The sequence below is a fragment of the Homo sapiens genome, chromosome 10, assembly GCF_000001405.40.
Source record: "Homo sapiens chromosome 10, GRCh38.p14 Primary Assembly".
NCBI lineage: Eukaryota > Metazoa > Chordata > Mammalia > Primates > Hominidae > Homo > Homo sapiens.
The window spans coordinates 56,119,677-56,146,413 of record NC_000010.11 but is presented as its reverse complement, the minus strand read 5'-3'; the positions used below and the strand labels follow the sequence as shown (position 1 = coordinate 56,146,413).

The 26,737-nt window shown below is 34.4% G+C and overlaps 1 annotated feature.

The window, feature by feature from the left end:
* Positions 10,378-10,427: a silencer, noted in NCBI's record as "silent region_2372". NCBI's record gives its function as "represses an Ori minimal core promoter by ATAC-STARR-seq in GM12878 lymphoblastoid cells {active_cell/tissue: GM12878}" and the evidence as "EXISTENCE:reporter gene assay evidence [ECO:0000049][PMID:35858748]".

Below are 26,737 nucleotides of genomic sequence, written 5' to 3'. Positions count from 1 at the left end.
TATTGTGTGTTTTCAGCATATAAAAATAAATTAATGATAGCAATAGCTCAAAGAATGGTAGGTAGAAATTGGGAACTGATTAAGATCAGTGATGGTCTTATACTTATGTGTGCTGGTTAATTTTATACCATGTGGTGGTTAATTTTGTGTGTCATCTTGACTGTATCACAAGGAACCCAAATATTTTAAACATCATCCTCAGTGTCTGTGGTGTCTACGAGGGTGTTTCTGGATGAGATTAACCCTTTAATTGGCAGAATGAGGAAGCAGATAGCTCTCTCCAATGTGAATGGGCCTCATCCAATCAATTGAAGGCCTGAATAGAACGATAGTAGAGTAATGGAGAATTCACTCTTTTTCTGTTGGATTGTCTTTGATCTGGAACGTAAATCTTCTGTCTCTATACATGGATTTAGTATAGATGTTATACCAATGGATCTCCTGGTTCTCAAGCCTTCAGACTTAGACTGACACTATACCCCTGGCAACAACTAATCTGTTCTTCATCTCCACACTTTTATCATTTCCAGGATGCTACATAAAAGGAATCATACAATATGTAACCTTTGGAGATTGACTATGTTCACTCAGTCTAATGTCTTTAAGATTCATTCAGGTTGCTCCATGTATCCATAGTTCATTCCTTTATATGGCTGAGTAGTATTCCATTGCTTGGGTTTGCCAGAGTTTGCTTAACCATTCACCCTTTGAAAGACATTCAGATTGTTTACAGGTTTTTGTCATTACAAATAAAGCTATTATCAGAATTCATGTACAGATTAAAAAATTAAACAAACAAAAACAAGAATGAAATATGCCCAGAGCACACTCCATAACAAATGCTTACTCAACTGAGGAAAGTACTTTTCCAGTCTTATTCCTCCCAGGAGAATGTGTTTTTGCCTCACCAGACCCCTGTGAAATTCCTGTGTCATCTTCAGGGATGGAGAGGCTAAAAAACACTGATGAAGGTCACAGTCTATATGGCACAAGCTCACTAAAACATTGACATAAAATTTTAAGATTATAGAATTTTAAAATTCTATAATCCCCCAAACCTTACCATCATAACAACAGCACTCCAGTGTAATAACAGTAGATTACAGCTAAAATAATTGCAAGACACAGCTTATCTTTGGGCATGAGTACTTAGGGAAGCCAAAAGTTAATAGAAGAGGCAAAAACAAGGACACTAGAAGAATCTGTCACTTATAGCTACAGCAAACATTAAACACAGGCCAACTCTGAGCCAAATTATCATAAAGTCTCACACTAAGGACCTATTTACCTTAGTTCCTATTACACAATACATCATGTCTAGATTTCAATAAAAACTGTTAAGACACAGCAAGAAGGCAAGACAAAGGAAAGAAAAAATATATTCTTTTTAAACTTTTTTTTAATTATACATTAAGTTCTAGGGTACATGTGCACAACGTGCAGGTTTGTTACATATGTATACATGTGCCATGTTGGTGTGCTGCACCCATTAACTCATCATTTACATTAGGTGTATCTCCTAATGCTAACCCTCCTCCCCCTGCTCCACCCCACGACAGGCCCTGGTGTGTGATGTTCCCCTTCCTGTGTCCAAGTGTTCTCATTATTAAATTCCCACCTGAGTGAGAATATGTGGTGTTTGGTTTTTCGTCCTTGTGATAGTTTGCTGAGAGTGATGGTTTCCAGCTTCATCCATGACCCTACAAAGGACCTGAACTCTTCATTTTTTATGGCTGCATAGTATTCCATGGTGTATATGTGCCACATTTTCCTAATCCAGTCTATCATTGTTGGACATTTGGGTTGGTTCCAAGTCTTTGCTATTGTGAGTAGTGCTGCAGTAAACATATGTGTGCATGTGTCTTTATAGCAGCATGATTTATATTCCTTTGGGTATATACCCAGTAATGGGATGGCTGGGTCAAATGGTATTTCTAGTTCTAGATCCCTGAGGAATCGCCACACTGTCTTCCACAATGGTTGAACTAGTTTACAGTCAAAGCAATGGCAACAAAAGCCAGAATTGACAAATGGGATCTAATTAAACTAAAGAGCTTCTGCACAGCAAAAGAAACTACCATCAGAAAATATATATTCTTAAGAGAAAAAGCAAATATCAGAACCAGAGTTAGATAAGACAGATGTTGGAATTACCATAAAGGGGATTTAATATAGCTAAGATTAACATATTAGGGGCTGCAATAGAAATGTAGACAACACACAGTAACAGGTAATGTAAGAAAAGAGATGAAAACTTTAAGAAAGAATCAAAGAAAATGCTAGAAAAAAACAAAAAACAAATGAAGAACGTCTTTAATGTACTCAGCAGTGGACTGGACATAGTTGAGGAAAGAATCAGTGAGTTTAAAAATAGGTCAATGGAGATTGAGATCATCCTGGCTAACACGGTGAAACCCTGTCTCTACTAAAAATACAAAAAATTAGCCAGGCGTGGTGGCAGGCACCTGTAGTCCCAGCTACTTGGGAGGCTGAGGCAGGAGAATGGTGCGAACCCGGGAGGCTGAGCTTGCGGTGAGTTGAGATCGTGCCACTGCACTGCAGCCTGGGCAACAGAGCGAGAGACTCTTCTCGAAAAAAAAAAATAGGTCAATAGAAACTTCACAAGTGAAAATGTAAAGAGGAAAAAAGAAGAGTGAAAATTGAACCAGACCAGCACATCCAAAAACTACAAAATTTTCAAAAGGGAAACATAGATAACTGGTTCACAAGAGTAGAAGAAAGAGAGACTGGACATTCACTATGGTAGATCGCACTGTATGTAAATAAATACTACTTGAAATTATTAAAATAATAAAAATAAAGTAGTTTATGAAATCACAATGGAATTAAAATAGAAATAAATATCAGAAAAAAATAGCTAGAAAATCCCCAGATACTTGGAAATCAAACAACACACTTTAAATAACACACAGATTTTTCTTAAAGAAAAGCCCTAAAATATATTTTTAAAATGTTTTTAACTATACAGACATGAAACACAAGTTTTCAGAATTTGTGGGATGCAGCAAAAGCAGTGCTTAAAAGGAAATTTATAGCATTGAAGACATATTTTTAAAAAGAAACAAAATCAGTATTATGTTATTTTAGGAAACTAGAGAAAAAAGAGCAAGGTAAGCCTAAAGTAAGCATAATAAAAATATATATATAACAGACATCAGTGAAATTGAAGACATAAAATCAGTAGAGAAAATTGAGAAATCCCAAAGCTGTTTTTATGTAAGGGTAAGTCGATAAGCTTCTAACCAAGTTAAACAAAACAAAAAGCATCAACATGTAAGTTATTAATATCAGAAATGAGATCGGGGCCATTACTAGTGATACCATGGGCATTAATTAAAATAACAATGAAAGAATATTCTGAATAACTCTTTGTGAGAATTTTGATAATTTTGATGAAATGGACCAGTTCCTCAAAGTCAATTACTATTAACTCACACAAAGGTATATAAGTAATATGAAGAAGTCTATACCTACTAATGAAATTGAATCAATAAATAATAACCTTTCCCCACAAAAATTACTGGGCCTAGTTGGTTTCACTGCTGAATTTAACTTTAAAGTTTAAGTTAAAAAAAAAAAGATACCAAATAATTATCTACAATAACTTCCAGAAAACAAAATCTGAGGGAAATCTTCCAAATTCATAAGCCAAAAAAATGAACGTAGACACCACTAAGCTTGCATCTTTCACAGAAATCAACTCAGTACAGATCATAGACCTAAATATAGAAAGTAAAGGTATAAAATTTTGAGAACTAAACATAGGAGCAAGTCTATGTGACTTGCAGTTAGGTAATAAGTTTTTAGACTCAACACCAAAAGCACTTGTGTGGACTAGCTTCAGAAGTCATATCCTGTTCTTTACATGGTATACTGGTGGTTACACAGGTTGGTCTTATTCAGTGAGCAAGATGACTACACAAAAGATCAATATCACAAAATAAGAATCTTTGAGGGACATCTGGAGGCTGCCTACCACTTCCTCAAAAAAAAAAAATCATGTCAAAATTTCAAACTCATGAAATCTGACTCCAAAAGCGTATTAATTCTGGCACTGCCAGTCACCAGCTGTGTGACTTTAGGTAAATTACTTTAACTCTTTTCACTTCTCTTCATTTCAGTTTTGCACTCATGAATTGAGGATGGTGAAAGTACCTCCCTCCAGGGTTATTTATAGAATGAAATAAGAAAATGCAAGTAAAGCAGCACAGAGACTACAACCTGGTAAAATTTAATAATAGCAGCAGCAGCAACCACCACCACCATCACCACCATTTTTGAATGCATAGATTGTATTATTATTGTGCTAACTAGTTAAATGCTTTCCACATATCCCCTCATTTAATCCTCAATTTACCACATTATTCTATTTATAGTTAGAAAACTTAAAAGGTACAATATTTAATGTACTTATTTTAAAGAAAACTACTTTGTAGTTTTAAATTTAAATTTAAATTCTTTAAATTTATTTAAAAATAAATCCTGAAGATTTATTTTTCCTTAAAGTTATTTCAATATCACAGAATGCAGTTTCTTAGGGATAGTCAATGAGAGCAAAATCATACTGTACCAGCTAAGTAGCCTAGTAGCCTGTAAACAGACTTCTCCTTAACCTGTATTTCAAGCTCTTGATAGCAAGTGTTTTCTCTCTCTCTCTCTCTTCATATATCTATAAATTTGTACTCGAACTTTTGGCATTGAATGTGGTCAGACTTAAATCTCAGGATCAGAAAAACTGTTAAGTAAAATGATTACAAAGCTAAATTGGTGACCATCACAGAAAGTTAACCTGCAGAATTTAGGCTAATCTCTACCTCGTCATCCTTTGGTAATATTCTGAATTTAAAACGAAAGCTTTAAGAAATGAAACTTGTCAGGCGTGGTGACTCACGCCTGTAATCCCAGCACTTGGGAGGCCTAGGGAGGCAGATTACCTGAGGTCGGGACTTCAAGACCAGCCTGACCAACATGGAGAAACCCCGTCTCTACTAAAAATAAAAAATTAGCCAGTTATGGTGGTGCATGCCTGTAATCCCAGCTACTTGGGAGGCTGAGGCAGAAGAATCACTTGAACCTGGGAGGTGGAGGTTGAGGTGAGCCAAGATCACGCCATTGAACTCCAGCTTGGGCTACAAGAGCAAAATTCCGTCTCAAAAAAAAAAAAAAAAAAGGAAAAGAAAAGAAAAGAGGTACAAGAAATGATAACATAAGAAGTTTTGCCGTCATGCTTTAACTATCTGAGAATCTCAAACAACTGGAAACACTGAATAATAAAGAGCAATATAAAAGGGACATTGATTCTATGATTTACCAATAATGGGGCTGGAAAGATTCAGCCACTTTGATTGTTTCTTTTGTCAGTTTTGTGTAGCTATTATTTTTTCAGTGTAAACTGTAGCCCCATGGATTACATAAGAGAAATTCAAAGAGCAGCATAAACTTAAATCTTAGATGTTTCCTTTCCATGATTAAGAAAGATTATTTGGGTTTTTACTTGTTTCACCATGGCTTAGTAAGGACAACCTTATTCAAATAGAGCACTTAGAATCACAATATCATAACATTTTTGAGAGGAGAATGGTGTCTGTATATATATATGATATCATCCATCTTATTTCATAATGTAGAAAGCAAGAATGCTGGAAGTGAATACATTTGTCAAAGTTTATAAAGGCCAGAAGTCACCAGAGTCCTAAAGATTTTAGTATTACAAGTTGACATACTACTAGTCTTATGTAAATATGAACCTTTAACGTATAATTTTCTAAAAGGTAAAATCATGCACATATAAGACAACATATACCAAATATTTTATGCAACACATTAATTAATGAATTCCTAAGATGTTCAAAATATTCCAAAAAGAAGTTTTGAAACAAAATGTTTATGGGTAACGTTAGAATATCATTATTGGTTGGATACAAAACTGGTTAATATTCAAAATACCATAAACTATTATCAGTGGAATTGTCTGTTCCACTGGACATAAATTATTTGCATCTCTACTAAGTGAAAATCTCAGAGTTACTGATCCTGAAGAACCGTAATATAGAATAGATAACACAAAGTCTCCCAGCACCTCACTGAAAGAACACCCAGTAATTTATTTTTCTCTTTTTGTACATTTTGAATAATTTTTGTAATGGTTTTGTTTTTGGAAAGTACATTTCCAAAGTAAAAATTTCTCTTTTTCTTTTAAAGTCTTATGAGAATTACATGAAATGGGAAATTATAAATGAAAATGCTATGTAAACTAACTAAAAATGCAGATGTCAGGCTGATTGTTTTTCTTCCTAAATATATTTATTTTATGAAATAAACCATTTTTGTTAGTGTTGATGGTATATATTATACATTTTCTTATAATATAATTATCACTTAATTCCAGTCAGTGAAGCTCTTATAGCAAACTCCACTCTGCAGAAATATAGCTGCCACCCTGGAGCCTCTGTCAAATGGCATTCCCCTTTACTTTAAAATAAATGTATATCATCTGTTTCTTCAAATGCCTGGACGCTTCTGCCTTTTGCAGTGTACATTTAGTGAACTTTACTTTGTAGTTAAGAAATTGTCACCTTTATAGGTTTTTATAGCTTTTTTTCCAGTAAATTATTGACTATCATGTGCTGGCTAAGTGTTACTAAACGTACAATTGAGAAAAGCCATACCATTTTTGCCAACTACTTTAATACTGTGTACCATAAATGGCCATTGCTAATAAAAAGCCCCAGAAAGCCCTGCAGTTAACCTCCTGCTTGTCTATTTGGCGAATTGAAAGGTCAGAGCCTGAAGGCAATGTCAACACTTGATCAAACTAAAAAGAATAAATAAAGATACAATAATAGTCTAACTCCTTGTTTACAGAACGTTTCTAAGCCCATTTGAGAGACATAGTGTCAGCTCTCTGCAAATATCAATCCATGTCTGATGCTTCCTGACAAATGAAGAATGATACTTACAAAATTGTGAAAAAAGGCGAGTTTTTATTTGAAAACTTTACAAATCCCCTTTGCAAATCTCCCTTTACTTTTATATCTCTATTTACTGTGAACCCCTAAAGATGCCAAATATAAACATTTATAAGGTCCGTAACATACAAGGATATAGCAGATAATAAATTGTGCATACATGTGTCTGCGTGTGTTGTATAATTGCTGGGCTTTGAGGGAAATTTCTGTGTGCATGCATGCATATGTTTCTTTAAAACAGAACTTTCTTCAAATTCTTCTGATTGTGGCCATCCTTCATTGTGAGTCATATGTTGCGAGGAATTTTAACTATTTAAAAAACTGAAATCTAAATTATGTGAAGTGTATGAATATACTATGTGAAATTTCCTGATTTTTAAAACTGGCCTAATTTTTATAAAACATGAATAATAGTCAAACAAAACATGTCTGACCAAAATATATGTGTGTCATGGCAGTAATAATGGCAAAATTTAGTTACCCATTTTAACTATAAGTACTTCATTATATTTTACTTTGATAAAAGTATAAAAGAAGCTGATATTGCATTAGAAAAATATTTATTTTTAGCTTTCTCAAACACTTGTAAAATTTATTTACTATTCGGTTACTAGGAACAGAATTGAAAAACAAAAAACATTATCAGAAAATTCCAATATTTAAACAATTAAAATAAACTAACCTATAGAAATTATAAGAATAAATTATGCAAGACATTTTAAGTAAGTTTAAGGAGTAAAATTTTTTTCCGAAACATAACTAAAACATGTTTTTTATTCATTTATTTACAAATCTCATTCAGTGGAAAGGTGGAATACAATATTTAGTGATTTTGCCTAGTAGCATAATGTGTCCAAATGCTTTGGCTGAAATTTCTAGTCAATTAAGGTAAAGATGAGATGGCCTGGAATCTACATTAGCAAAACTTTGCCACTCAGTGAATTTGCCAATGTCGTAGCATCCACTTAAAATGGGGAAATCATAGGAAAGCGAATATAACCAAATTCTGCTAAATGCTCTCCTTGTTTAAGTTAAGCCTTGTTTAAGTTAAAGTTCATAATCTTTTTTAGCCTGGCCTAGATTTCAGTCACACCTCTTACTTCCTTCCCTACTTCTTATCACTAGCTAGTGTTGCAAGAGTCAGAGCATCTTATAATACTTAGTAGAAGAGCTTCCTGGTGGCTCACACCTGTAATCCCAGGACTTTGGGAGGCCCAAGCGGGAAATCATGAGGTCAGAAGTTCGAGACCTGCCCGACCAACATGGAGAAACCCCATCTCTACTAAAAATACAAAAAATTAGCTGGGCATAGTGGCTGGCACCTGTAATCCCAGCTACTCAGGAGGCTGAGGCAGGAGAATTGCTTGAACCCAGGAGGCAGAGGTTGCAGTAAGCTGAGATCACGCCACAGCACTCCAGCCTGGGTGACAGAGTAAGACTCCATCTCAAAAAAAAAAAAAACAAAACAAAAAAGAACAAGAATCCTGGGCCAAGTAAATTAACCTCTTAAGTCTCAGCATCCTCATTTATTTTTTTCAAGTTTCAGAATGCTACAATTTCTAGCTTTAATTTCTGAAAAATAAATGTGTATTATAAGAAGTAGGTTATTTATTTGGTAGAAATCTGTCACCTCTGGGAAAATAAGTTATACGTAATTACAGTAGAAATGTCATTTTGGCTAGGCCTGGAAATACACTGATAGTAAAGTTTAAAAAAGCACCCACCAAAGAAGATCGAATAAACTTTAATATATTTAGTACCTCAATTCCCTACAAGTAAGGCTAGACTTTTTTTTAATTGAAGTGGTCAGGTACAGTCTTAGTCTGTTTTGTGTTGCTTTATATCTGAGGCTGGACAATTTATTTAAAAAAAAAGCTTTATTTGGATCATGATTATAATGGTTGGAAAGTTCAAGATTGGGCACTTGCATCTCGTGAAAGCCTTATTAGGCTGATTATTTTTATGACAGAAGGTGAGGGGGAGTTGTGTTGTGCAGAAATCACACAGTGAGGAAGGAGAAAAGACCGAGAGGTGACATGCCAGTCTCCTTTGAACAACCAGCTCTTGAAGAAACCAATAAAGAACTCACTTACTTCTGAGAGAGGGCATGATCTATTCATGAGGAATTTAACCAAAACACCTCCCAGCAGGCCCCACCTCCAACACTGGTCAAATTTCAACATGAGGTTTTGAGGAGACAAACATCCAAACCATAGCAGGTACCTAAATCATCTCATTAGAAAGGAGTCGGAAAGGCTCAACTGAAAAATAATCAATTCAACAACAGACCAACCAAACAGCTTTAGTCTCCTCTTAAGTGCCATAAAAAGCTATGCAAGATCTACTGTATTATTTAATGTAAATAATTATTTCTTAGAGAAAAATAAATATAAAGAATAAACTTTAAATGCTCGTTATTCTACTACTCAATTATAAATACAATATTATAGTAAGTTTCCAGGTTTCTATCTGTAATGTTTTCTATTAACATTGCTATAATCAACATTTAGATTTCTTTTTTCACTTGGCTTTGTATTATAAACATAGTGTCATATAATTAAATAAGGTTCTATTAACAATGTATTGTGACCACAGACTCTCACATAACCAATAGCCAATTACAAAGAAACCTTAGTGACTTAAAGCAATACAAATATTAATATATTATCTTGCAGTTATGGAGGTCAAAGGATTACAGTGGGGACTGCAGAGTGGCATTTCTTCTGGAGGCTGTAGAGGAATCTGTTTCGTTGCACTTCCAATTTCCGTAGAGAACTTGTGTTGCTTAGTTCATGATCTTTCAGTCTTCAAAGTCAGCAGGGTTGCATTTTCAATTCCCTGTGATCTCCTGCCTTCCCCCTCATAAGGACCCTTTTCAATACATTAGGCCAACCAAATAGGATGATACAAGATAATTTCCCCATTTCAAGATTCTTAATTTAATTTCTGCAAAATTTCTTTTACCATGCAAGAGATCATGTTAACAGTTTTGAGGATTAGGACATTGACATCTTTGGGGCCATTATTTAGCTTACAACATAAACTCTATTTTTGACATGTGTTTTTATTTTTTCTTGTTATAACTAACTCTGCATTTCATATCTGGATGAATATACATTTTCTGCTTTTTTAGATAACTTCAAAAAATTATTTGCTTTGGTTTGCTTTCAGGATAAATCTTTAGGAGCATAACTATTCAATGTAGATTATTAAAAATACTATGGTCTTTAATTCATTTTCCAGTTAACAAAAAAAATGCATCAATTTACATATCTCCTAGCAGTTTATGAGAGTGTTGAAAATGACATGCAAATTGTAAATGGATTAGCAGACTATGTTAACTCTTAAATGAGCCGAGGCTATGTTAAACTGCTGACAGCTTTTGTTGATAAATCCCTCACTCACCACAGCCGATACTTCCTCCTTTCACAGTTTTGTCTGTGCCCACTCTGTGTTGCGCAGTACAGAGATATTTAAGATTCATAGTGTATCCCCAGTTCTCTTACACATCTACTGTTACAGGGGCTGCCTCTACTGCCGGAAATTGTATTTTACTCCAAGTCTGTTTAACAAACCACTACACAAACTTCAGGTCTGTCTGCCTATCAATACCATTAATAATAATAATAATAAACACTATTTGGAAAACATTTTCTAATTTACAAATAGCATTCACATCCTAATCCTCAACACCTAGTCCCAAACGCTAAGATTCATAGAGCTGCCCATTTGTAGATGATGCTCCAGATAAGCTGGCATTTGAGTTTAGAAGGAGAAAAATTCTGGAGAAAAATTCCAGAGAAATATTTAAATATCATAAATTATTTTGAACCTTGCTTATACTCTATGGTTATAAAACTCTTTCCATTAATTAATGAAATAGCTTTGTTATTGCTACTGTCATTTTTGGTTTTATAAAAACTATTTTTATTTTATGATAGTTAAATATTCACAAGAAGTTTTAACAATAGCACACAGATGTCCTTTGTACCATTCATTTTATTCTTCAGTGGTAACATCATATATAACTGTATCACTTCATAACAGGTGAATTGACATTGGTACAATGAGATTATAATTAGAGAGCAAGCAGAGTTGCATTCAATATGGTTCCTTCTCGGTTTGTAAGTATAATTTATGGAGACCTAGGGTATGTGTACTTCTGAATTTCCATTTATTTTCAATAAGATTCCCATAGTTCAGAGACTATATTCAGCAGACAATTTTCACTATTGTTCTATTTTCTATAAGACTTCTACATGAGTGATTTGCAGTTGTGAGAAGTAAATATTACTTTTTTAAATACCTCATAGATATTAAATTTCCCAGGATATAGGGAGCCTTGGGCATATTATTCAGTCACCCTTTATAAAAGAGCTTTAAAATCATTTAAAGGCTTTAGATTGGAATCATTCTAGTGAACCTCTACATTTAGCTTCTGTGATCCTGTATACTTTCAAGATACAAACGTTAAATTATGAGAAGTTTGCATGTGAAATGCCTAATTTGACAGTTCTCATTGAAAACCTTGGCAACACCACTCCACTGTCTTTCCAAGTAAAAGTGATGTTTCTGAATACAATGATATTTTATTTTACTTATATATCTAATCATTCTGATTCAAAAGATAGCAACATTCTTCAAATATAATAATTTGAAGTGTGTGCCTTTCTTAACAATAAGAAACATATTATTTGATCTTTGCTTATTTGTATAATCAGAGCAAAAGTTGTATTTATTTGGGACTATCAGATCATTTGTGAGTGCTGATGACCTTAAAAGGAATCTTGATTTATATTTGAGAAGCTAACAGATATATTTGCCTCTTTTTTCTTTTCTAAACATATGAAAATCTTCATGGAAAAAATATAACAAAGAGGTGAACTAATTACTAGATTCTCAGATGTTATATATACAAACATAAAATAATAAATCATTGCCATAGGAACAATAATGAGTTATGGAGAAAACCTATTCTATGGTGTAATTAGCTTTGAAATAAAAGATCCACTTACGGTTCTTTATAACAACACTATATTTTTTCTTAAATTAATTCACTCCTCTATTTTTAATAACAATACCTGAAAATTTTTAGAAAAGCAACAATATAAGAGGATTGTTGGTCTAGGTGCGGTGGCTCACGCCTGTAATCCTAGCACTTTGGGAGGCTGAGGCAGGCGGATCACGAGGTCAGGAGATGGAGACCATCCTAGATAACACAGTGAAACTCCGTCACCACTAAAAATACAAAAAATTAGCCAGGCATAATGACATATGCCTGTAGTCCCAGCTACTTGGGAGGCTGAGGCAGGGGAATCATTTGAACCTGGAAGGTGGAGGTTGCAGTGAGAGGCGATCATGCCACCTCACTCCAGCCTGGGTGACAGAGAGAGACTCCAAAGAAAAAGAGGGATTGTCTTTTGGGATTTTTTTATAGTGTGCATTACATTATATTATTTAAAAATGCATTTAGAATAGCAACTACATTGTTGTTTAGAACTTGAAATATCACTAGTCTTGTACCTTTAGCTCTCACTGTTCATATCTGTTTAGTATGAAGTTTAACAAAACAACTTGAAGTTCATTCAACTCGTTACTTTGTTTCTATCATTTTTTGCTTCTTTAGTAAGCAACTTGAGTCCAAATGGACACACACACAGACACGCAAACACACACACACACCCACATGCATACCCTTTTTTTCCTGTAAAATAGTTAGATATTAACATGCATTAATAAGAAGATATAAGAAGTACTGTTATCAGATTTATCAATCATCCAGTTTTAGATTCAATGTGATTTTTGTGACAAATCACAGCTATTTATAGTTGATTATGGTAAACTTAGTGTTATTCTGGAGTATATAGTTTAGGTAACAATAACAAAATAGTATTTATAGAAGTAGTGCGTAGTCTATTTAGAGAGATAAAAGCTAAGAATGTGAAATAAATAGGGAAGAATTCACTTTTGAATGAATAAGCAAATAACTTTTAAAATTGAATAATGAATGTCTCTGACATTCAGATGCACACACACACCCACACCCACACACACACACACACACACACACACACACACACGCGAGATTCTTATGGGATAAGTTAGAAAAGAGCACATGTTAATGATAAAGAATTACAAGTAGATTCATTAGTTTTTGCATTCTTAGCTTGAGAGGGATCTCTGGAAGTATCACACACATATATATTAAGTACCGACTATATGTTTAATACTCTTCTGAAAAATATAATTCAGAAAAGAATCACTTAATAGAGCTTGTTTACAAGATATATTTAGTCTCCTTTGAAATAAAAAGCCAAGCCACATGAAATGAATAGTAAAAAATACAACTTTATTCCACCTTTAATAATACATAGAGCCACCAGATAGAAAATCAATAAGGAAACAGCAGGTTTGAATAACATTGTAGACCAAATAAACTTACCAGACATATACATACTTTTTATCCAACAACTGAAGAATACACATTCTTTTTAAGTGCATGAGAGACAATCCTGAGGATAGATCATATATTAGGTCACAAAACAAGTCTTAAAAATTTAAGAAGACAAAATCATATCAAATATCTTTTCAAACTGCAATGTATTAAAACTAGAAATCAGTAACAGCGAGAAAATGTGTATAAATTAATAACATGCCCTTGAACAAGCACTGGGTCAAAGAGAAACTCCAAAGAGGATTTATAAATATCTCAAGATGAAAACAAAACATATTCAAACTAATGGGATGTAGCAAACATAATGATGAAAGGAAATTTTATAATGCTAGTACTGTTTTAGGACTTTCCCTTTAGTTCAGCTAAAAACAGGATCCTTGTCACACAACCATGAAATATTAGGCTCACAGACATTTTGAGAGGTAAGAAAAATTGAATTTATTTGGCAAAAGGGAAAAAAGAGGAAACAGGGACTCTTCACAGAGTGAGTCTTGCTAGTATAGGCTTCCCACCCCACAGATTGAATTCCAGGTTCCACCCCAGAAAAAGAGAGGCCAGGCTCCTCCCTGCTGCAAATAATGCTGACTTCCTGAAGCTCCACCCCAGTGCACACTCCTCCTGGTGTGCAGGTCGGTTGGAGTTTCCCTGAGGACTTCTTTACATTTGGCTGTCTTAATACTTACACTATAAAAGATATATCTCAAATAAACAACTTAACTTTGCAACTCAAGGAACTAGAAAAAAAAAAAAACCAAATTAACAGAAAGAAACAATAAAGATCAGAGAAAATAATAAAATAGATAATAGAGAAACTATAGAAAATATCAACAAAACTGAATTGGTTTTTCTTTTTTTTAATTTTATTTTAAGTTCCAGGATATAAGTGCAGAAGGTGTAGGTTTGTTACATCAGTATACATGTGCCATGGTGGTTTGCTGCAGCTATCATCCTAACATCTAGGTTTTAAGCCCCGCATGCATTAGGTATATGTCCTAATGCCCTCCCTCCCCTCACCCCCACCCCCTGATTGGCCCTGGTGTGTGTTGTTCCCCTCCCTGTGTCTATGTGTTCTCATTGTTCCACTCCCACTTATGAGTAAAAACATGCCGTGCTTGGTTTTCTGTTCCTGTGTTAGTTTGCTGAGGATGATTGCTTCCAGCCTCATCCATGTCCTTGTAAAGGACATGATCTCATTCCTTTTTATAGCTGGATAGTATTCTGTGGTGTATATGTACCACATTTTCTTCATCCAGTCTACCTTTGATGGGCATTTGGGTTGGTTCCATGTCTTTGCCATTGTAAATAGTGCTGCAATAAACATACATGTGCATGTGTCTTTATAGTAGAATAATTTATATTCCTTTGGGTATATACCCAGCAATGGGATTGTTGGGTCAAACGGTATTTCTGGCTTTAGATCCTTGAGAAATCACCACATCATCTTCCACATGGTTGAACTAATTTACATTCCCACCAACAGTGTAGAAACATTCCTATTTCTCCACAGCCTCATCAGCATCAATTGTTTCTTGGCTTTTTAATAATCACCATTCTGACTTGCATGAGATGGTATCTCATTGTGGTTTTGATTTGCATTTCTCTAATTATCAGTGATGTTGAGATTTTTTTCATGTTTGTTGGCTGCATAAATGTCTTCTTTTGAGAAGTGTCTGTTCATATCTTTTGCCCACTTTTTGATGGGTTTGTTTTTTGCTTGTAAATTTGTTTAAATTCCTTGTAGATTCTGGATATTAGACTTTTGCCAAATCAGTAGATTGCAAAATGTTCTCTCATTATATAGGTTGCCTGTTACTCTGATGATAGTTTCTTATGCTGTGCAGAGCTGTTTAGTTTAATTAGATCCAATTTGTCAATATTGGCTTTTGTTGTAATTGCTATTGGTATTTTCATCATAAAGTCTTTGCTCATGCCTGTGACCTGAACGGTATTGCCTAGGTTTTCTTTTAGGGTTTTTATGGTTTTAGGTTTTACATTTAAGTCTTTAACACATCTTCAGTTAATTTTTGTATAAGGTGTAAGGAAGGGTCTCAGTTTCAGTTTTTGACATATGGCTAGCCAGTTTTCCCAGCACCATTTATTAAATAGGGAATCCTTTTCCCATTGCTTGTTTTTGTCAAGTTTGTCAAAGATCATATGGTTGTAAATGTGTAGTGTTATTTCTGAGGTCTCTGTTCTGTTTCATTGGTCTATATGTCTGTTTTGGGACCAGTACCATGCTGTTTTGGTTACTGTAGCCTTGTAGCATAGCTTGAAGTCAGGTAGCATGATGCCTCCAGCTTTGTTCTTATTGCTTGGGATTTTCTTGGCAATATGAGCTCTTTGTTGGTTCCATATGAAATTTAAAGTAGTGTTTTCTAATTCTGTAAAGAATGTCAATGATAGTTTGATGGGGATGGCATTGAATCTGTAAATTACCTTGGGCAGTATGGCCATTTTCACAATATTGATTCTTCCTATCCAGGAGTATGGAATGGTTTTCCATTTGTTTGTGTCCTTTCTTATTTGCTTGAGCAGTGGTTTGTAGATATCCTTGAAGAGGTCCTTCACATCCCTTATTAGCTGCATTCCTAGGTATTTTGTTCTCTTTGTATCATTTGTGAATGAGAGTTTGTTCATGATTTGGCTCTCTGCTTGTCTATTGTTTGTGTATAAGAATGCTTGTGATTTTTGCACATTGATTTTGTATCCTGAGACTTTGCAGAATTTGCTTAAGAGCTTAAGGAGTTTTTGGGCTGAGACGATGGGGTTTTCTAAATATAGAATCATGTCATCTGCAAAAAGAGACAATTTGGCCGGGTGTGGTGGCTCACGCCTGTAATCCCAGCACTTTGGGAGGCCGAGGTGGGCAGATCACAAGGTCAGGAGATCGAGACCATCCTGGCTAACATGGTGAAACCCTGCGTCTACTAAAAATACAAAAAAAATTAGCTGGATGTGTTGGCGGGCACCTGTAGTCCCAGCTACTTGGGAGGCTGAGGCAGGAGAATGGCGTGAACCCAGGAGGTAGAGCTTGCAGTGAGCCGAGATCACACCACTGCACTCCAGCCTGGACAACAGAGCGAGACTCCGCCTCAAAAAAAAAAAAAAAAAGAGACAATTTGACTTCCTCTCGTCCTATTTGAATACCCTTTATTTCTTTCTCTTGCCTGATTGCCCTGGACAGAACTTCTAATACTATGTTGAATAGGAGTGGTAAGACAGGATGTCCTTGTCTTGTGCCAGTTTTCACAGAGAGTGCTTCCAACTTTTGCCCATTCAGAGTGATACTGGCTATAGATTTGTCATTAATAACTCTTATTATTTTGTGATATGTTCCATCAATACCTAGTTTATTGAGAGTTTTTAACATAAAGGGATGTTGAATTTTATCAACAGCCTTTTCGACATCTATTAAGATAATGATGTGGTTTTTGTTATTGATTCTGTTTATATGATGGACTATGTTGATTGATTTGTATATGCTGAACCAGCCTTGCATCCCAGGGATGAAGCCGACTTGATCATGGTGGATAAGCTTTTTGATGTGCTACTGGATTTGGCTTGACAGTATTTTATTGAGGATTTTTGCATTGAAGTTCATCAGGGATGTTGGCCTGAATTTTTTTGTTGTTGTTGTTGTGTCTCTGCCAGGTTTTGGTATCAGGGTGATGCTAGATGAGTTAGGGAGGAGTCTCTCCTTTTCAATTGTTTGGAATAGTTCCAGAAAGAATGGTACCAGCTCCTCTTTGTACCTCTGGTAGAATTTGACTGTGAATCCGTCTAGTCCTGGGCTTTGTTGTTTTTGTTGTTGTTGTTGTTGGTAAGCTACTGATTACTGCCTCAATTTCAGAACTTGTTATTGGTCTCTTCAGGGATTAGACTTCTTCTTGGCTTAGTCTTGGGAGGGTGTATGTGTCAAGGAATTTATCCATTTCTTCTAGTTTTGTTTTCTCAAAAAATAAGATAGACAAACCTTGGCTCAACTAACTGATTAAAAAAGACAGAAAATTCTAATAGAATCAGAAATGAGGGAGAAGACATTACAACAGGTGCTTCAGAAATAAAAAAGATTATATGGGATGATTATGGATAATTATAATCCAACAAATTGGATAATCTAGAGGAAACAAATGCATTTTTAGAAACAAAAAACCTACCAATACTGAATTAAAAATAAATACTTTAATAGAATAATAACAAAGAGATTTAGGTAGTAATAAAAAAAATCTCCCAACAAAGAAAAGCCCAAGAACAGATAATTTCCTGATTAAATTCTAGCAAACATTCAAAGAATTAATACTAACTTTTTAAAAACTCATCTAAAAAACAAAATCAGAGGAAACATTTTCAAACTCATTTTATAAGCCTGCATCACCCTCATACCAAAGCCAAACAAAGATACAAGAAAGCAAGCTACAGGTCAACATGAACAGACATGCAAAACTCCTCAATAAAATAGCACCAAACCAAATTCAACATCACATCTAAAAGATTACACACCAAGCCCAAGTGGAAATTTTTCCAGGGAGGTAACACTGTTTTTTGTTTGTTTGTTTGTTTGTTTGTTTGTTTGTTTTATTGAGACGGAGTCTTGCTCTGTCGCCTAGGCTGGAGTGCAGTGGCCTGATTTCGGCTCACTGCAATCTCCCCCTCCCGGGTTCATGCCATTCTCCTGTCTCAGCCTCCCGAGTAGCTGGGACTACAGGCACCCGCCACCATGCCCGGATAATTTTTTGTATTTTTTTAGTAGAGTCCAGGTTTCACCGTGTTAGCCAGGATGGTCTCGATCTCCTGACCTCGTCATCCACCCGCCTCAGCCTCCCAAAGTGCTGGGATTACCAGTGTGAACCACCAGGTAAGACTGGTTTAATGTACACAAAGCAATCAACAGGATACACCACATTAACAGAATGAAGGGTGATGAAAGCACCTATTGAGATAAGCATACTTATCTCAATAGATGTAGAAAAAGCATCGAAAAAGTTAAACCATCGTTCATGATAAAAGCTTTCAATAAATAGAATAAAAGAAAATTTTCCTCACAAAATAATGGCCATTTATGAAAATTCCAAGCTAACATCATAATCAATGAAGAAATATAAATGCTATTCCCCTATGATATAAAAATAGGCAAAAAATACCCATTCTCACTTCTACATAACATGCTATTGAGAGTACCAGCAAGAGGAACTAGACAAGTAAAACAACAAAATCACATCTATATCAGAAAGGAAGAAGTATAATTATTCATGTTTGCAGGTGACATGATCCTATATGTAGAAAACCCTAAACTCCATAAAACATAGTGTTAAAAGTTACTCAGTAAAGTTGCAAGATACAAAATCAACATACAAAAATTAGTGGCATTTCTTTGCACCAATAACAATCTATGCAAAAAGAAATTTTTAAAATCTCATTTATGAAAGCATCAAATTAAAATCCTTAAACATGAGTTTAACCAAGTAAGTGCCAGATCTATATGATGAAAACTATAAAACATTGATGAAGGAAATCGAGAAAGACACAAATAAATGGAATGATATGTTGAGTTCATGAATTAGAAAAATAGGCATTGATAAAATGTCTGTACTACCCAAAATGGCATAAAGATTCAATTCAATCCCTATTAAAACTCCAATTTTCATTTTTTTACAGAAATAGAAAAAGCAATCTTAAAATTTGCATGAACTCAAAAGACCCTGAACAGCCAAAACAAGCTTGACAATGAAAAAAAAAAGAGGTGTCACACTTCCAGATTTTAAATTATATTTCAAAGCTATAGTAATCAAAGAAATATGATAGTAACATAAAACCAGACACAGAGACCAGTGGATCAGAATAGAGAGCCCAGAAATGAACCCAAACCTATACAGTTGACTAATTTTCAACAAGGCTACCAAGAAGATGCAATAGGAAAAGAATAATTTGTTCAAGAAATGATGTTGGGAATACTATATCCGCATGAAAAATAATGAAATTGGACCCTTACTTATACCATACACAAAAATCAACTCAAAATGAATTAAAGACCTAATTCCATCACTTTAAACCATAAAACTTATACAAAGAAACATTGGAGAAAAGGTGCCTCATATTAAAGACGGCAGTAATTTTTAGATATCACACCAAAAGCTCAGATGACAAGCACAAAAATTAAAAATAAACAAGTGGGACTACATCAAGCAAAAAAAGCTACTGCACCACAATCAACAACGTGAAAATGCAGCCTAAAGATTTGAAGACAATAAATTCACACCATATATTCTATAAGGGATTAATATCCAAAAAACATAAGAACGTCACACAACTCAATAACAGCAACAAAACCAAACAAGATTTAAAAATGGGCAAAAAATTTGAGTTGACATTTTTCTAAAGAAGACACACAAATAATGAACAGGTGTATGAAAAGGTGTTCAACATTACAAATCAGTAGGAAAATACAAATAGAAAAACACTATGAGATATCACTTCACACCCTTTTAAAATTTTTTTTATATATATATTTATTTATTTATTTATGAGACAGAGTCTCCCTTTGTTGCCCAGGCAGGAGTGCAGTGGCATGATCTCCGCTGACTGCAGGCTCCGCCTCCCGGGTTCACGCCATTCTCCTGCCTCAGCCACCCGAGTAGATTCTACAGGGGCCCGCCACCACGCCCGGGTACTTTTTTGTATTTTATAAACACTTCATGTTTATACCAAACTTAAACAACTTCAGTTTTAAGATGGTGTTTCACCGTGTTAGCCAGGATGGTCTCGATCTCCTGACCTCGTTATCCGCCCGCCTCGGCCTCCCAAAGTGCTGGGATTACAGGTGTGAGCCACTGCGCCCGGCCTTCACACCCTTTAGAATAGCTATTATCAAAGTGTCAAGAACTAAATGTTGGCAAGAATGTGATGAAAAGGAAACTCTTATACACAACTGGTGAAAATATAAATTGCAACAGCCATTATAAAAAATAATATAATAGAGTTTCCTCAAAAAAACTAAAAATAGAACTACCATATGACCCAGAAATCCTTCTGCTGGTTATGCACCCCAAAAAAATGAATCCTTACCTTGTAGAGATATCTGCCCGCCCACGTTAATTGCAGGATTATTCACAATAATCAAGATATGGGAAAACAGTGTGTGTCCATCAGTGGATGAATAAAGACATTTTAGTGTTCATATACCATACAATGCTATTCATTCTAAAAAAAAAAAAAAAGATACTACCATTTGCAACAACATGAATGAACCTGAAGAACAGTCTGCTAAGACATTTCATTTTCAGACATCAAAAGAAAAAGATTGTCTGATATCACTTATATGTGCAATATAAAAAACAGTAGTCTTCATTGGATCAGAGTGCAATGGTGGTTACCAGCATCATGGAAGTGGAAGAAATTGGGTGAAGCAGGTCACCCAATTTGCTATTATGATAAATGAATAAGTCTAAAGATCTAACGTATAGCATATAACTCTAATGTGCACTGGCTGGGCGCGGTGGCTCACTCCTATAATCCTAGCACTTTGGGAGACCAAGGCGGGAGGATCACGAGGTCAAGAGATAGAGACCATCCTGGCCGACATAGTGAAACGCCATCTCTCCTCTTGTAGAGATTGTAAAAATTTTGTAAAAATACAAAAATTAGCTGGGGGTGTTGGCACGCACCTGTAGTCCCAGCTACTTGGGAGGCTGAGGCAGGAGAATTACGTGAATCTGGGAAGCGGAGGTTGCAGTGAGCCAAGATCATGCCACTGCACTCCAGCCTGGCGACAGAGCAAGACTCTGTCTAAAAAAAAAAAACTAATGTGTACCTTAAAGACCAGAGTTAATATTATTGTATTGTATTTTTAAAAATCTGTTAACAGAGTAGATTTTAGGTACTCTTGTAACATAACAAAGGTAAGGATGGAAGGTGATGGACATGTTAATTTACATCCATAGTCATCATTTTATTGTGTATATGTATATCAAAACATTGTGTTGTACACCTTGAATATACAGAATAAAAATAAAAATAAATAAAATACAATTTTATATGAAGAAATAAGGAACATTCATCATAACCCACAAAGGCCAATTCCCCACATTGCTTCCCAACGCTACTTACACATATTATTAGGCTTGGTCATTACTGCCCTGAACAGGATAAATTAAAAAGACAATTTAGACAATAGAATCTTAAAATATATTCTTAGCACATACGGTTTACTCCCAAATATTAGATTTATGTAAAATTCACAACTAAATTTCACTCAATATGGGGGAAACCCAAATGCCCATTAAGAGGTATTAATAAATGAATAAACAAGTTGTGGTATATGCATACAATAAAATACTCTTTAGCAATAATAAGAAATTCATGGACAATCACTAAATACAGCAACATGGGTGAAAGTCAAAATAATTTTTCTAAGTGTAAGAAACCAGGACCTTTTGAGAATGTGCAAAATCTATATTTACATTTATATAAAATTTTGCAAATCCTAAGCTAATATATGGTCACAGAAATCAGATCTGTAAAAATAAAATTGTGCAAGTGAATTCTAAAATTTAAAATATCTATTTCTTCTGTTTTCACTTCATGTTTATATCAATACTTCAGTTTTAATTAAACATTGATAGACCTACCAGATTAAGTCAAGAAAAATGGATTTTTCTGTTATTTTTATGATACAATAATGACTAATAATTGCTCTCGCTCAAAATAAAATACAGAAAAATCATTACAAAAATAAAATAATTTTGAAAACTTTTTACTTGTCCAGAATATTTTATCCAGTAAGTAGTAACAAAACTTATTTAAATTTAATATGTAGTTTTTAAAATGGGGCAAAAATAAAATGAAGGTGGACGTTCAAAGGCTGTCTATTGCCCACCCAACCCTACACACAAGCACATCTTTCGAATTCCTTGCAAATTACTTAATTTAAATAATGTGTTTCCATAGTAAATAATTTATTTTCCCACTATTGACCATGCTGTAAGGGAGAAGTTAAACTTTTAAATCATTTGGAATAACTGGTCTTAAGTTTATAACAAAGACAAATAGAACATGCAGAGTAGAATAGGATAGTACAATAATAGAAAGTACAGAAATTTGAAGCTGTCCATGTAGTAACTGAATGGGCAAATTTAAAAAATCATCTCTCATGATCCTTACCTGTTGGTATTTTATCTTTATATTATTCTCCTCACTTTGTATTTGGACTATACTTGGCCACTTATAGCCCCATTATATTGAGGATATAGTGCTTTCATGTTCAGGATACAAAAGATTGTGGTATTCCTAATACTTCAACTCACTTTCAATTTTATTGGCATTCTACCTTGCACTCTTCCATTCATGAAGCTGTCTGTCATGTTTTCAGACAGTCTTCAGATAGGACTACGTGGCAAGAAACTAAAAGAGACATTCAGCCACAGCTCCTGAGGAACTGAGGCCTTAATTCAAGAAAAACTGAATTTTGCAACAATCACATGAGTGATCTTGGGAGTAGATCTTCCCCAGTGAAGACTGCAGATAAAACTGCAGCCCTGGCCAACACTTTTACTGCAAACTTGTGAAAGATCCCTGAGTCATAGGTACCCAACTATGCTGTGTTCAGTTTCTGACCCACAGAAATTATGAGATAAATATTTATTGTTTCAAGCTGCTGATTTGAGGATACTCTGTATTTGTTGTGCATTAATAAATAACAATTACAGTAAGGAATTAGGTAGCACATTAAAGATACCTTATAATGCATTATCTCCCAATTTTATTTGAGGTTATATAACCAAACTTAGGTTTGGCTGCGGGCTGCTGGAAAAGCCAGACACAAGAAGTTATATTTTCTACTTTTCATTTTACCTGGGAATAGTTGCACTTTTAAAGATAAATTATCACCTTAAAGTCAAAGGTAACTAAACCTGTTCTTAAATGTCTATTCATTTTTGTGTAAAATTTGTAGCATCAGAATTGTGCACGCATGTATGTGTGTGTTTGTGTGTCTGTGTGCATGCACACATTTAGCATTAGTGTTTTAAATTTTGCATTTCAATTTTTGGGATGACATCTGTAACTGGTAACAAAAATATCATCTGTTTTTAAATATTTAAGACAGAAGTTAAACATCATTATTTCCACAAATGATTCAAGTTGTGAATACTCTTGCTGGTGTGGCCTTGGTGTTTATCAATTAATCCAAAATATATATTAATACAAAAGTAAGATAATTTAAGATACTCAAATTAGATGTTCGATTGTTTTGATTGCTATTCACATCTGTTGCAGAGCTTTATCAATTTCTGAGCTTACATGCAAGAATTTTACCTTCTAATATGGAAGATAAGGTCAAGCATTCACATGCACACACACGTACATAGAAACAAACACAGGGTCACAAACACAATTATAAAGTACTTGAGATTAGCCATACCAATGGCTGGAGGTAAGGAGTTGTAAGTCCTAGCGGAGGTAAATTGCCTAGAAACCTTAAAGTAATAATAAAATTGACTAATAGTCTGCTTTTTTTCTTATCTTGATGTGCAGGCAAGCCTAAAAAAGGCCAATTATGTACTATTCTTCCCTGAAATATAATCTTTTTGTGTTCTAAATTTTATACCTCATGGTTGTAAAAGACTTTTATTAATCTATGTTTTTGTATTAATAAATATACATGTTTAACATAAGAATGTTTTATTAGTTACCTATTAAGAAACTGTGGTTTTTATGGATGTTAATTAGAATAACTGACAGTTAATCAAAATAACTCAAAATGTGGGCTTAGGGACACTAACCTTTAATGAATAGAGTATTTTTGTAATTGGGAGCTAATACCAGATACACTTTGTGTCTACTCCTGTGCTAGCTCCCATTTATCATTTAAATAGTAGATTCAAAAATCAATAAAGACAGCACAATGGCTGCAATGGTTGTAAAGATGAAGGAATAGAATCTGAGTTATTTCAATCCACTCATTCTTTATAACTATTTAGAGATTTTATTTGGTTTCAAATTTTAAAAATTAAAACATAATGTAGACCGCAAGATGTAATATCTTTCTTAAGGGGAAAATTTTGAATTATACATACAATATTTTACAGAACCTGAATAATACATTTTAATTGAAATTTATCATTTTAAAATCATTAATTGTTTAAAACTAAAAAAATCAAGAAACTACTATTACTGAACTATTATATAATTATTATTTAAAATGCTTTTATTCAATAACAAAGGGTTTTTAAAAAATTACCCTCTCCTGGTGCCAAATATCTTGTTACATCACTGGAAGACAATATAATCATTTGCAATGCATACAAGAGTGTGTAGGAAATAGTTATAACCCCACATGGACCAACTGTACATGGCATATTTGGTTTAATATTTATTGATTACTAATAACTTTCTGAACAGGAATGACCAGGAACTATGCAGCGACAGGTGAGCAAAATGGGGATGCTGTTCTTGCCTTACTTAAATCTTGGCATGTATTTTCAACCATGCTATATTTGCCTGCAAAATCTTTGGTCCCTTACATGCATTTTCCAGCTTTGCTGAGGGTCAAAACTACGTCACAATGAGGGTAGCAGATAATCAGCGTCTAAAGATACTACTATAGCATGACTTGCTAAAACAAATGTGAAAATGCAAGTCCAAGATTGTTTACTGACAACTAGAAATATGCCAAAAATTTTTTCAAGAACACTAAATATGAGTGTTAATTTTATTTGAATAGGGAAATTGCATTAACTGTTTTACATCACAAGTGCATGGCTCAGACTAACTGAGGCAATAATCTCCTGTTACCCAAGTGACTCATTAAAATTAATAGTTTGTTCAAAATGTGCCTTTTTTTTCCCCTTCTCACTTTTTGAAGGTTCCTTGGAAGTTTGGTTCTGTAATTGTCTAATTTTTATTAAATTACGCCAGAAAAAAAGTGGCCATTTCATTGAGGGCAGTGGGAGCTATAATTGGGCACTGCTTGAATGGCTGGATGTGACTTTTAAAACAGTGACCAAGGAGAAATCTCTCTTTCATACACAGGTATATAAACATATCATAAATATCTTGAAATTATATTATTCTCTTCCTAAACACATCCACTGAATCTTACACCCAAAGAAAAAGGAATGGTTTACCTCCTTTTAATGAGGCACTTACTATCAAAATCTATAGTATTTACTACTGAAAATTTCAGCTTACTCTTCCATATTTATATGACTGATTAAAATTGAGCAATCACATAACATAACTGCCACATCAGATTATTGAGTGAAATGTTCACAACCACCTTAACTGAAATGATTCTTAACAAGAAAATTCTTTAGGAGTTGTCATAATCCAATCAACAACTTTTTTAAAATTTAAGGAAAGTGGTAGTTACTAGATTATTACACAGAAAAACTGGTTCCACAAAATTTATCCCAAACTCATGTTTTCAGAAATAAAACTGAACAAATATATTAACCCAAGATAAAGAAATAATAAACTGTTGGGATAAGGATTTTAAGCAAAATAATCCAAACTATCAACTTCAGTACTTCACTCCTGTTACACCATCTTATATCTGTATACACCCATGTAAACAACTGATCCCATTTAAAACTGAGTATCAATCAGAAAGAAACATGAGTGGGACTTAAACATAAATGTTAAGAGGAAAAAGAGAATGGAATAAAAACAAATAACTACATGAAAAACATACATCCCAAGAGGAAGTATTTTAAAACATGGTGGTTTTCAGAAAAAAAAAATTAAAAAGCATTTCTCTCTGTTCTCAAAATATCAAAAAGTACATAACCACTTAAAAACACCTGAAGGAAGAACAACAAGGATTCTAATACATATTATAAAACACAGGAAGATGGGCCAGGCGTGGTGGCTCACGCTTATAATCCCAGCACTTTAGGAAGCCGAAGTGGGTGGATCACCTGAGGTCAGGAGTTCAAGACCAGCCTGGCCAACATGGTGAAACTCCGTCTCTACTAAAACTATAAAAAACTAGCTGGGCGTTGTGGCAGACACCTGTAATCCCAGCTACTTGGGAGGCTGAGGCAGGGGAATCACTTGAACCTGGGAGGCAGAGGTTGCAGTGAGCCGAGATTGCGCCACTGCACTCCAGCCTAGGCAACAAGGCCAGACTCCGTCTCAAAAAGAAACAAACAAACAAAACAGAGGAAGATGAAATGAAAGTGGTGGATGAACTCAGATATAAAATTGAAGGGAAATAAATGTCTGCCTTCTTATGCACACATAGTTTAAATATAAATCTATTTTTATGTTTAGTTCTAATTTTCCAGCTTAAGAAGTGTTA